At 42.9% G+C, this 13,695-nt stretch overlaps 1 protein-coding gene across 57 annotated transcripts in view, besides 1 other annotated feature; it reads right to left on the bottom strand.

Annotated features, from left to right (window-relative positions):
- Window positions 1-13,695, bottom strand: part of SPIDR (scaffold protein involved in DNA repair) — a 475,429-nt gene that overhangs the window by 129,114 nt on the left and 332,620 nt on the right. For 56 of the 57 annotated variants that reach the window (NR_148202.1, NR_148205.1, NR_148204.1 and 53 more), the window contains 2 exons: window positions 11,187-11,382; window positions 7,997-8,247 (listed from right to left, as the gene is read on the bottom strand). Coding sequence is in view for 52 of the 57 variants with exons in the window: in XM_017013268.3 (XP_016868757.1) it covers window positions 7,997-8,247; window positions 11,187-11,382 (447 nt within the window). In the remaining 5 variants the exon portion in view is untranslated. The remainder of the gene's footprint in view (window positions 1-7,996; window positions 8,248-11,186; window positions 11,383-13,695) is intronic. The other variant, NR_104581.1, reaches the window with a different exon arrangement.
- Window positions 8,174-8,233: an enhancer, noted in NCBI's record as "active region_27328". NCBI's record gives its function as "activates an Ori minimal core promoter by ATAC-STARR-seq in GM12878 lymphoblastoid cells {active_cell/tissue: GM12878}" and the evidence as "EXISTENCE:reporter gene assay evidence [ECO:0000049][PMID:35858748]".

Here is a 13,695-nt window from a genome sequence, read left to right as displayed (position 1 = left end):
TCTTTCACATTACAATAAAAAATATTCAAATCATTGAAAAGGAACAATTCCAACTTTTCTACAACAGGAAGAAGCAAAGAGACTTCAGAAATAAAGAAAGTATGAGTGACAACAACCACCTTATGAAAATGTGATGCTAAGCAGATGGATGAATAGTCATTCTGCCAGCTCTGGCAGTATGTGGTGGTACATAAAAGAAAAGCAGGTGAAATGGTCCCCTGTGTTGTTGACGAGGGAGCTGTCTTCCCTTCAGGCTCTTTAACTGTAGACAGGCATATGCCACCGTTACAGCGAAGGAATGTATGCCACCCTGTCTCCATACAGAGAAAAGGAGGCAGAGTCAAGAATATCTCCCAACTGTTTAGTGGGAAGAAAAGTAACGGTTCACAACCAGGGAGAAGAGCTGTATTCACCCAGCAGGACACAGCAGGTGAGCACACAGCTGGGGAATCAGTGTGCCACAGCTGACCAGCTTTTCAAAAGGAGTCTAGTAAGCTTTATCCAAGAGTCTTTCTCCACTGTCCAAACACATGCAAAGGCTAATGCCCCTAATCATCACATCCACGATCTACTAGTGCATGTTCCTCATTCGGCCTTAATCTGAACCATTCTCACCATCAGGAGTTTGGGATCCTTGTTTTTTGTTTGTTTGTTTGTTTGTTTTTTTGAGATGGAGTCTCGCTCTGTTGCCCAGGCTGGAGTGCAGTGGTGCGATCTCGGCTCACTGCAAGCTCCACCTCCTGGGTTCACGCCATTCTCCTGCCTCAGCCTCCCTAGTAGCTGGGACTACAGGTGCCCACCACCACGCCCAGCTAATTTTTTTTTTTTTGTATTTTTAGTAAAGACGGGGTTTCATCGTGTTAGCCAGGATGGTCTCGATCTCTTGACCTCGTGATCCACCCACCTCGGCCTCCCAAAGTGCTGGGATTACAGGCATGAGCCACTGTGCCCAGCCGGGATCTTTGTTTAATGCTCTGGACAAAGTAAAAAAATTTCCAACCACAGTATCAGCACCATTCAACACTGGCCCCAGCATTAGGGCAGTTTTCTGCAATATGTTTATTCCAGAGGAACTTCCGTATCTCCATCATTTAGACAGCAGTGGTCACACTTCACATACAAATTTACACAAATGCTTCTTTTCCAAAGTAAATGGGCATCAACTCCTTGTTGATGGGAGTGCTAGGGGTAGAGGTGGGGAATGAGGTGGCCAAAAGCATAGAAATAAAAATCACCTTCAAGCAAGCTTCCTCAGCAGCCAGATGGCAGACTCAGTACCAACACTGAGTGCTGATTTGTAATGCGATAGCTTGTCTTTGCTTAGTTCAGGTTTCTATTATTGTAGCAATGCTCTTTACCACTATTTTTTTTAAGCATCTATGCTTACTGTTAAAGAGTGAGTGAGCTGCTTTTTACTGAGTGCTTGTCATATGGGAAGCATCCTGCTGAGTACTTCACATACATCATCCCAATCAGTCCTCACCACCAGTCTGCATTATAGTATTATAATACCAATTTCACAGACAAGGAAACACAATTTGCCCCAGTCTCCCTGCTAAATGTCCTGTCACCAGTGAACCCACACCAGTCTGATTCCAGATTTTTTGTTCTTTCCATTAAACCACCAGCCTCTATGCATATTTAAAAGAAAAATGGTACCTGCATACACATTAGGAAACAAGAGACAGAATGCCCTCATTGCAGTTCTTTTGTTCTATGTAAATTTGGACATTGTCATCCTCGTATGCATCAACAAAACATTTGTTATCCAAGCTTGCTTCTCCTCTGGCATCCCACCCACTCTACTCTGCTAAGTGAGCTTCTGTGCTCACTGCTCCCTACACCTCCTGCTCGTGAAGTGACCCAGCAACTCCTCCCAAATCTGGGGCACAGATTTTCAGTGCTCACTTTATTAGACTTTGCAGTACTATGGGTCCCCTCCCACATGGAAGCACCATCCTGAGCGCTTGCCACGAGCTCTGGTTTCCTCTTGGCTTCACCAGCCCAGCCTCCTCTGTCTCCTCAGTGGGCTCCTCTTCTACCTGCTTTCCAATGCAAGAGGACCTTGGAGTTCAATGCCTGCATTTCTTCTTTCCTTTGTCTCTATTGTTTCCCTAAAGTGACCTCCTCCACAGCCCTGGCTGTAGACTTGGCTGTGACAGGACACTGCTGCCTTGCACTCACACGCATTAGTGCCTTTGGAGCTTGGCACCATAAACAAATATAACCTGCTGACACCCGCAAACAAAATGAATGTACATACAAAGATACATACTGACCAGACATAGGCTGAGAGCTCCCAAACATTCATGTCCAATCTAAAACCCTCTGGGCGTAAGGTATGTACGTCCAGCTTTCTCACAGGACATCTCTTCTTCGATGTCTCATAGGAATCTCAAACTTAGTAGGCCTAGACTGCATTCTCAAGCTTTCTTCCAGACCTGCTCTCACTATAGTTTTTCTCATCTCAGCAAATGGGAACATCCTTCAACTAAATAACTCAAGCTGAGGCTCACTCTCTGAACATTCCCTTCTACTTTGCTCCTCCCCCAACCAATCCATTATGAAGCCATCACACACATCTAGACCACGGATCTTTTCTCTAGCTCTGGCAAAGCCACAGGAGACTCAGGAACCCACCAGTCCTCTCTGACCTGGACTACGGCAGTAGCTGCTTCCTGCGTCTCTCTGCTTTCACTAGGCCCTGCCCCATGTGCCCATCTTACTAAACCCCTGGTAGCTAAAGCTGACTTTCAAGCAGGGCAACCTCATTCTTGGTCAGTGGGCAGCCACAGCAAACACTGCAGCTCCTGCACATGGTCCACTAGGCTGTGGCCGGTTGCGTGCCTGGGATCTCTTGCTGGCCTGTGCAGCATGGTCATGCTGGCTTCTCCCTCCTGTCCAAGAGCTTTTCAAAGGTATTCTCTCTTCTGTGAGCAATTCTCTTTCATCTTCTCTTTACCTAACACCTAAACTTAAATAGTACTGCCTTAGAACACCATCTTTGAACCCTCTAAACTAAATTATGTCCATTCTCCATTGTGCCCTATTTTTTCTCACCAGGGTACTTATTGCAACTTGTAATCATAAATGCATTTGTTGTAAAGTATTTTGTGTGGGATCTCCCACTAGAACTATGCTCCAGGAGCACAGAGACAATGTCTGGTTTTGTTAACCACTGCAGGCCCAGGACCTGGTCCAGGGCATGGTGGATTTTTTTTTCCCTTAGTGGAAAGAAGGAATAAATATACAACATGAGAATAAAGCAAAGGCCAAAAGACCAAAAAGAGGAGTAAAACATCAAGGTATGGAAAAAGGAAAATGTGCTTTTCTTCTGAGTTCAGCTCAGTGAATTTCTCCAGCTTTTTGTCTGAAGACACGACTATTTAGCACGTTCTGTCCTCTTGCAAAGGACTAACTCTCCACTTTAAAATATTTCTGCAATGAAGGGCAAGAAAGAATTTGCATCTCTAAAGGACAGAGATTACATTAGTTGGCCGGGTATGGTGGCTCACGCCTGTAGTCCTAGTACTTTGGAAAGCCAAGGCAGGAGGATTGCTTGAGGTTACAAGTTTGAGATCAGCCTGGGCAACAGAGTGAGACCCTATCTCTACCAAAAAAAAAAAAAAAAAATTAGCTGGGTATGGTGGCACGTGCCTGTGGTTCCAACTACTTGGAGGCTGAGGTGGAAGGACTGCTCGAGCCCAGGAGGTTGAGGCTGCAGTAAGCCATGATTGCTCCACTGCACTCCAGCCTAGGCAACAGAGCAAGACCATGTTTCAAAAAAAAGAAAAAAATAAATTACTGGTCCCTAGGTTAAATATCTCAAGAAGAAAGGAAGAGAATGTTTTAGAAAGGGAGAAAGAAAGGTGATGTCTGCTGGCAATCACCATGGGCTTGGAGTGAGGTAATATGGTCTGGACCTGCACCACCAGGACACAGAGAATCACTAAGGAATCATCACTTTCTCTCTTTGCCTCAGTTTTCATTATAAGTTACCTCGAAGGCCAGTGCTCCCTTTCTGTTAAAAAAAAAAAAGCCTATGGCTTTATTAGTCATGCATTTATCTAATGATCATTCAACATGTAGTCTATCTATAAAAAAGGTGTGTTTGGGCTCTGAACAGACTGCCTACCCTGTGGTTAGGGAGCACCTTCTGCATCAGTTTTTTGTTACCTTTGATTTTAGTGATTTATAAAACTTAAGTTTGCGTTGGTTACTCTGACCTACAACACCTTGAGAAACCTCACAGAAACGTTTTCATTAATAGCTCAAGTTACAGGAAGTCATCCAGAAGAACAATGGACAGGGGACTCTAACATACTATATTTCTGAAATGTAAAGTCTATTTCTGATAATGTTTCACAGTGCAGAGGACATGAATCTTTTGAGAGAATCTATCTGACCCTGAATAGGACTAGCTGCTTCAAAAAATTTTCTTTTAATTTCGAGGTTGGCACTAATTGAGCTGTCAGCTTTCAGAAGATAAGCTGTTACTGGTATCAGAAAAGTGACACTGACCGAGGACTGGGAACAGACTGAGATTGACACCTACGATCAAGGTGTGAAGTAAACTTAAGACAGAAATTTACCACAGGGTTTCATCAGCAACCACCTGACCTGGGCTGGGTGGGGAAGGGGCAACTATTGTGGCAAACAAATCTGCCATAAGACACCGCTGTTTCTTTTCACCCAGGCTTAATTTCTTCTGACATGGTAATTTCTGGACTTCACAGAAAACACACAGTAATCAAGGTTGTCTTTAAGTTCACGGATAGTTTGAAAGATCTCTGGGGTAGAGCAGATAATGACAAGAGCTCAAGAAAAGCCATTCTGAAAGACAAGGAGACCAGACTTAGAGCTGCCTTTAGTTGAAAGGGGTCACTGCTTATGCAATTTTCCTTCTTCTGTGTGTGTTGTGCTGATGAGTCTGTACTAACTGAGCCCAACTTTGTCCATCCTGTGGGACCCACAGAGCATTCCATATGTCATCTATGATCAGGAAGCTGAAAGCAGGAATCACAGGCAGAAAATCTTCCAGGCTACACATCTGCATCTTCTAATAATATTCGTGCTACATGTACATGTATAAAAAACTGCCTTAGAATGCATACTGCTAAATGTGTCTCGAAGGCAGATATATTCTCTAAGTTTTTCTTTCTAAATATATTAGCAAAGAATTAGTAGTGAATAAAGTACAGTTTTACTTCTATATTAATTTGATATGTAAACTAGAGAGCCTGATCATTATCACTGCAAAATAATCTAGAAAATATTAATGATCAGATCTTCTTGTACCCAAAGACATCTCAGCAGCCCTGTCCTCAAACTCAAGGCTAGCACTACGGCCGTTAGTTCCAAAGTTCATCTTTGTACACAGTCCAACCAAGTCTCCCCAGGGCAAAACACTTGCACTTCTGCTGCCCTGGACAACTTGACCCTGGGTCAGCCTTAATCTAAACACGGCTTGGTTCTAACTCAATTTTCTCCCTTTTCTTTTTGAGACGGAAGTCTCATCTGTCCCCAGGCTGGAGTGCAGTGGCACGATCTTGGCTCACTGCAACCTCCGCCTCCCTGTTTAAGCGATTCTTCTGCCTCAGTCTCCAGAGTAGCTGGGACTGCAGGCACGCACCACCATGCCCAACTAATTTTCGTATTTTTAGTAGAGACGGGGTTTCACCATGTTGGCCAGGATGGTCTCGATCCCCTGACCTCGAGATCCGCCCGCCTCGGCCTCCCAAAGTGCTGGGATTACAGGCATGAGCCACCGCGCCTAGCCTCTCCCTTTTCTTTTAAACTCTAACACTCTACAACCATGCCATCTGGGATTCTATATCCCATTCATTTTTCTTTGTGTCTACCTGTGTCAGCAGTGAGATCCTCCTTGAGGCTGTGTTTCCTCATCTGCAAAGTGGAAATAATATTGTCTAGCCTCGATATTGTGCAATCTCAGATGTGCTACAGAAAATGCATCACACAGAATGCATATTCATTAACTCTGAATAACTGGATGTTGTTTTCTTGTTTTTGAAGTTCATGCCTGGCCTTCTTTCAGTCTACCACAAGGATATTCTCATTAGATATGTCACCACATGTATTCCAAAGTACAACTCCAAAGCATTCACAATGCAACTCACATCGGTAGCATTTCACCAGATTTTAGCTTCTAGTTTTTCTCTCTTTGCTAAACAAGTAAAACAAGTACCACTGAAGGACCTAGAGGGACAGCCTTCATAACGTGCATTGGTTGTGATTAGTCATAGGAAGCAACCGCACTGTCAGTTTTGTCGTTCTTTCTCGTCAGGGTGATTCAGTTCCCCACTGTCTCTGTTTCCTCGTCCCCTTGGAGTGTGTGGTCTGTGTACTGAGATGAGGAAGCTCTACCAAGTTCCTCATTGCCAAGGTAACTAGTATCCCCTTCTTCAAAACCTAACACTGGATATGTGTCATTAAAAAGGCCAAGCAAAACAAAAACACAAAACAAAAACCTATGTCTGATGTGTAACTGTCTTGGAAAATTCTATATAAATTTACCACAGATTTAGGGCAAAGGGTAGAAGACTGGTCTACATCTACAAGCCATGATAAATACCTTAAAACTGATTTAATGGATTTTACAAACATACATATTCCAAAAAAGAATCTTTTTTCTGTAATTCCAAAAGAAACATTCTCCAACTCTAGACCTCAAGACGACTTTCTCAAATTCATAGTATTTTCAAATAAAGTGCCTCCACTTGAAGATGATTCATAATTCACACCGGAGTATAGGTATCCTGTTTCTCTCTCTGGCATCAGAAGGCAGCATAATGATAGGATGATTGCATTGTCTTTATATTAGAGATGGGGTCTTGCTCTCTTGCTTTGCCCAGGCTGGTCTCAAACTCCTGGGCTCAAGTGACCTGCCTGCCTAGGGCTCCTCCCAAAGTGCTGGGATTATATGTGTGAGCAACCATGCCCGGCCAGGATGATTGTTAAGTACTATTTCTTCACTACGTGTTTTCTTATTAATAGTTAAACAAAACCAAACTGATGAAGTAGCATCTATACTTTTAATTTCTATTCTGTTGGAAATCCATGTTACTTCTTTGAGGGCAATTATCATTGCCAGAGATAACTTCAAAAGGCTATGCCAGACTGGGCGTGGTGGCTCACGCCAGTAATACCAGCACTTTGGGAGGCCGAGGCGGGTGGATCACTTGAGGCCAGGAGTTTGAGACCAGCCTGGCCAACATAGCAAAACCTTGTCTCTACTAAAAATACAAAAATTAGCCAGGCATGGTGGTGCAAGCCTGTAATCCCAGCTACTTGGGCACGAGAATCTCTTGAACTCCAGAGGCAGAGATTGCAAAAAGAAAAAAGGCTATGCTGAGGCTCTGATGTAAACAAACAAACCTCTCTGTCAATCATGCGTCTACAGCTATCTGTAAGAACCAACACCAGGAAGGGCCTAAATCTGAGTAGAGACAACATCACTTCTACTACATTTGTCTGCACTTAACTGCATTGGATGGTGCAGACAGACGACATTTACATCATTGCAGAAAGTTGTATTAGGCAGTACTGATGCAGATGGTTTGATACAGTACTCTCTGAAAGCCACAGGTTTACCAATTGCCATTATTTACTCAGGTTTTCGAGACATATAAAACTGGATGTTGCAAATGGTCTTTTGAGGTATGACAACCACATGTCTTGGCTTTTCCAGAATAATACCAATATTTCTTGCATTTGTATTACTTTCAAGAACATGAACCATTAAAGGTAAAACAAAATGCAGCAAATTTAATTTTTAATAGGACTTTAAAATTAAATAGATAGATAAAATCCTTCATCATGCCATGTATCCCAAATTTTGATGCAAGGAAAAACAAAAACAGCTCACGTATATGGTGAATGCAGCTAAGAACGTGCTCTGAGAAGAGGCTCCACTTTCTAGAGCACTCTGTCTAAGTGACTCTTCACCTCTGCCCCACACCAGCATCTTGGCACTCACCGAGTTCCAGCTGGGTCTGTGTGTCCTGAGCTGGCCCCCTGCTGACCCCTGGTGCTGTCTCTGCTGGGAAGAGAATACACTCTTTGCACCACCACTCGGACTCCAGCTCCTGGCCACGAGGCAGCTCCCTGGCTTTCCACCACATCCAGGAGAGAATCCCTCAGGGGAGTGCTGGTTGGGATGCGCTGTTTTGCTTCTTTGTGCCCATGGGTCCAGGCTGTCCCTGTAGTGGCTACACCACTACACACAACCTGGCCAAGACACATAAAGGGAACAGTTTCAAGACTCACAAAGTTTCAGTTCGGCTAACAACAAGCAACATGCTGCACACCAAATAATGACATCCTTAAGCAGCCACCCAATGGATCTGCACTACACTGAAGTGATGATGAAGATGAAAATAAAGGAACTTGTGGCATGGGGCTCTGGGCCTGCCAGGTGGCTAAGACTGCAAGCTGAAGGCGAGTGAAAGAACAAGGACCACAGCAGGATGTTTGCTATACCAGGCAGGTCTTTGAAAACACACAGGAAGTTCTGCTAATAAAATAATTCATGATAATTCAATAAATTTTTCTCTTTTGAGGTAAGAATTCCAACAGAACAAACTAAAAATGAAGATAAAAGAATGACTAGGGATAATACAAATGCTTCATTTTATTAAGTTCTTGTATGTGCAATCTCCTAGGCTGAGCATTTTACATGCTCACATATTCTCCCAACAACCCCTTACGTAGTATCAGCTGTCATAATAAAACAACAACACTTCTAGAGTGCTTCCTATATTCCAGGCTTTTAAATGTACATATTAAACATGCTTACCCTCACACAATCACCCAAGAAGATAGATAATATCACACCTCCATTTTACAGATAAGAAAACTGAGACATAGAGACCACAGATCTTGCCCAAGATGACCCAGCAGGAAGTGGCTGAGGCAGGATTTGAACCAGGTCATCTGGCTCCAAAGTTCACACGTTTAACCATTATGCTACAAGTAGTTTCATTATCACTGTCACAGGACAAAAATGAATCTCATGGGATTAATATTACATAGCTGTTTAAAACTATATGTTAAAACAGTAATGTGCTCTGGGCCATATTTTTGATGTTATAATTAAATTGATTCGAGAGTCTTCCTTTTTGCATAATCCTCTCCAGATACTTCTTTTGATAGTCAAAGAGAGATTTTGCTTGACTGGCTGGCACAAAAGAGGCTGAAAGTTTGTCTACTTTTCTTTCGTATTCTTCCTCCCTTGATCTGTCAGTCTCAGGAAGCATTCTGTTCAGCGACAACTTATATAACCCAGAGATCTTGAGGCCAGTGCACTGGGAGCCACACAAACATTCAGTGCTTAGGGTGGTCCCAGGGGCCATTCATGCCCACAGCAAGTGAATTTTAGTGGTTCCCTAAATTCATCTTGGCACATGATCATGGCTTAGGATCAGTAAAATTCCAAAAAACAACTCCAGCATATAAACTCAAGCTTATGCAGTTCTTTTTATTCCAAGGGATAATACATATTGTGGAAAAGCAAAATATGATTTTTTAAATAAATAAAGGAGGGCTTTAAAAATTCTTAGACATTACAAGAATAGAGAAAATGAACGTTGTCAAATACCAGCATGCACTGTATAATGATGCTTCTGTCAACAATGGACAGCATGTTTGACCGTGGTCTCATAAAACTATGATGGAGACGAAAAATTCCTGTTGCCTAGTGATGTATTCACATGTTTGTGGTAATGCTGGTGTAAACAAAAGTAGTGTGTTGCCCATGGACACAGGAAGGGGAAGATCACACACTGGGGCCTGTTGTGGAGTGGGGGAAAGGGGTAGGGATAGCATTAGGAGATATACCTAATGCTAAATGACGAGTTAATGGGTGCAGCACACCAACATGGAACATGTATACATATGTAACAAACCTGCACGTTGTGCACATGTACCCTAAAACTTAAAGTATAAAAAAAAAGGTAGTGTGTTGCCAGTTGCATAAAAGTCTAGCACATCCTGTTATGTACAGTATCTAATATTTGATAATAATAAACAATGTTACTGGCTTATGTATTTACTGTACTATACTTTTTATTGTTATTTTAGAGTATTCTACTTGTTAAAAAACAAGTTATCTGTAAAACATCCTTAGACAGGTACTTCAGAAGGTATCCAGAAGAAGGCATTGTTATCCAAGGAGATGACAGCTTCATGCATGTTACTGTCCCTCAACACATTCCAGTGGGACAAGATGTGGAGGTGGAAGATGGTGATATTGATGGCCCTGACCCTGTGAAGATCTAGGCTATTGTGTATGTTTGTGTTTTAGTTTACAACAAAAAAAGTTTTAAAAGTAAAAAAATAAAAATAAAAATAGAAAAAAGGATATAAAGAAAAAATATTTTTTATAGCTGTACAATGTATTTGTGTTGTAAGCTAAGTGTTGCTATAAAAGAGTAAAAAAGTTAATGAAAAATTTAAAGTTTATAAAGCTAGAAAGTTACAGTAAATTAAGGTTAACTTATTACTGAAGAAAAAAATTTAATTTAGTGTAGTGCAAGTGTTCAGGGTTTATAAAGTCTACAGTAGTGTCCGAGGCCTTCACATTCACTCCCCACTCACTCACTGACTCATCGAGAGCAACTTCCAGTTCTACGGGCTCCATTTATGGTAAATACCCTATACAGGTGCACCATTTTTTATCTTTTGGACTGTATTTTTACTATCCTTTTTCTATGTTTAGATACGTTTACATACACAAGTACTTGCCACCATGCAGGTTTGTAGCCTAGAAGCAATCAGCCATACCATATAGCCTAGGTGTGTAGTAGGCTGGACCATCTAGGTTTGTGTAAGTGCACGCTATGATGGTCACACAATGACAAAATCACCTAATGACAAATTTCTCAGACCATATCCCTGTTAAGTGATGCATGACTCTATTTTAATAAATTAGAATAAAGATTAAAGACACATAATTAGAAAGATGAAATACTGTAACAAGAGCACCACTAAATGCTGAACTGAACTATAATATATTCAGGCGTAACAGTAAGTTCATGCAGCATACATCCTTGTGGTGGGGTTTTTGGAGGGAGACAAAAGGCTAACATCTTCACTTACACTGAAGCCCTTCCAAATCCAGTCACTAACATTATTACAAGCATAAAACCTTTAGGCCAATAGGAGTTTACCTGGATTTCAGGTGAATTATTTGTTAGACCCTTAATTACAAACATCTGGGCCAAAGAGATGCTTCTTCTTGGAAGGGGTATGTCCGGACAGTACACTTCACAAGTTTTTTCTGAATCTTCTTTGGCAACAACTTTCTCACAAAAGTAAGTATTCAGAATAACAGGGCAACTTCCACTTGGAATAATCAGTTTTTGCCTGGAAAAGAGAAAGACATGCAACAGTTTCTTTGCAATATTGGGGTCCCCTCATATTCTTGCTAAATCAGGAATGCAAAGAGCAATGACTCGCCTGCTATGGACAGCTAAAGCCAAGCCCACCCACAGAGGCACAGCTGTCCTTCATGCTCCAGCATGGCCACCAGTAGTCTGACTTCACTGTTCTAGTGAAAGCCCTGTGTCAGGAAGGGATGGAAGAAGGCTAAGTCCCTGGGCTTGGGCTCCCTTGTGCCCTCCCAGTATGGCCTCAAGACCCCTCAGGGGGAAATACGGAGGATAAACAAAAACTGTCACAGCCTCAAAAAAGTGCCCAAACAATGAAATAAAATGTACAAATAAAACCTTCAGAAATTTTGATAGCTCTTTCAAAGAACATACCATTAAATGCCAAAGGAGCATCTACCTTTGCTATCAAACTGACTATAGTTGCTGAATACCTCACATTTAAGTATTAATAGAAAAGGAGTCAGGAAATAGAGCAGACAAAATTCTCCTGGTTCTTCTCAGTCCTTGGACAAGAGAAAACACTTTAATGCCTATTCCTTAAAACATGGCGCTGCTTAATATTAAAAATTTGGGACTTCTGATTCTGGGAGGACGGAGTATCACACTTTCCCCTATTCCTCTAATTAAGTACAACTAAAATGCCTGATATTATATGTAAAGTAAACATAAGAAGACACCGAGAGGTGGAGAGAAGAGACCAACAGGCTAAAACCTAGAGACCTCAGGACTTCAGGAATGAGGCAGTGGCAAGTTCCTGGGTTTTCTTTTTCTTTTCTTTTTCTTTTTTTGAGACATGGTCTCGGCTCTGTCGCCCAGGCTGGAGTGCAGTGGCATGGTCTCAGCTCACTGAAACCTCTGCCTCCTGGATTCAAATAATTCTCGTGCCTCAGCCTCCTGAGTAGCTGGAATAACAGGCATGAATCACCATGCCCAGTATTTTTTTTTAGTTTTTTAGTAGAGAGAAGGTTTTGCCATGTTGGCCAGATTGGTCTCAAACTCCTGACTTCAAGTGATCCACCCACCTTGGCCTCCCGAAGTGCTAGGATTACAGATGTGAGCCACTGTGCCCGGCCCTGGGTTTTCTTTTTGCCTCTTATATCTCAGGTTTTGAGCTGAAGGAGCCAGCAACCCGGAAACAGTAACATGTGCTGACAAAAAGCTCTACCAAAGCCTGCTCTCTTTAACCAAGGACCAAGGAAGGGGCAGCCTAGAAAGGCAGAAAACTCTTAGATGGTAACTGCTCTACTCTAGGTAAACATCATGAAAAACCTATGACTTGTCCCTATGCATGCTAGCACAGGCCAAGTGAAGACCTGGACTTCCCCCCTCATTGGGCTGTAATGAGAGCACCCCAGTATCCCAGCTGGGATACCAGAGAAGGTGGGCCAAGGAGCTTTCTTTTCCTTTTTCTTTTTTTTGAGATGGAGTCTTACTCTGTCGCCCAGCTGGGGGCACGATCTCAGCTCACTGCAACCTCTGCCTCCCAAGTTCAAGTGATTCTCCCACCTCAGCCTCCCAAATAGCTGGGACTACAGGCGCCCACCATCATGTCCAGCTAATTCTTTTTTTTTTTTTTTTTTTTTTTTTTGTAGAGACTGGGTTTCATCATGGTGACCAGGCTGGTCTCAAACTCCTGACCTCAGGTGATTTGCCCGCCTCGGCCTCCCAAAGTGCTGGGATTACAGGCGTGAGCCACCGTGCCTGGAGGACTTTGATCTCCCACAGGCCTGCAACGAGTACTCCCCTCATTGTGACAATGGAGAGACTACCTGGGGGCCTGGACTTCACCTCCTCCTGACAGTAGTAACCAAGCAACACTCCCTGCCCCTCTGGGGTGGTGCCAGAGGAAGTGTGGCAGAGAATCAGGATTTTCACCGCTGCTCAGTGGTGCTGAGGCCACCCTTCCCTCCTACCCCTCAGCAGAAGGCATGTGAGGAACAGCAACAAGGCTTCCCTGGCCCTCCCAGCCAGGGTGGTGTCAGCAGAGGCTTAGCAGGGAGCTGGAACTCATACCCCTGCCCAGCAGGAACAAGGAGTCTCTCCCTCTCTCAACTGTCAACTGAGGAACCTGGACTTCCCTCTCCACGTGGCAGTAACAACCCACTCCACTCCTCACTTTCTCCTACCAGAGCAGTGTCAGATGAAGCTACCTAAAAGAGGTTTCAATAAGATCCAGAGTCTCAAAACATAATACTCCAAATGTCCATGTTTCTATCAAAAATCACTTGTTATACTAAGAACCATGAAAAATCTCAACTTGAATGAATAAAGACAGTTAATAGATGTC

Source organism: Homo sapiens, chromosome 8 (genome assembly GCF_000001405.40).
Source record: "Homo sapiens chromosome 8, GRCh38.p14 Primary Assembly".
In the NCBI taxonomy this organism is placed as follows: Eukaryota; Metazoa; Chordata; class Mammalia; order Primates; family Hominidae; genus Homo; species Homo sapiens.
Note: the sequence above shows the minus strand (reverse complement) of the source record. Positions and strands in the feature narration are given on the sequence as shown.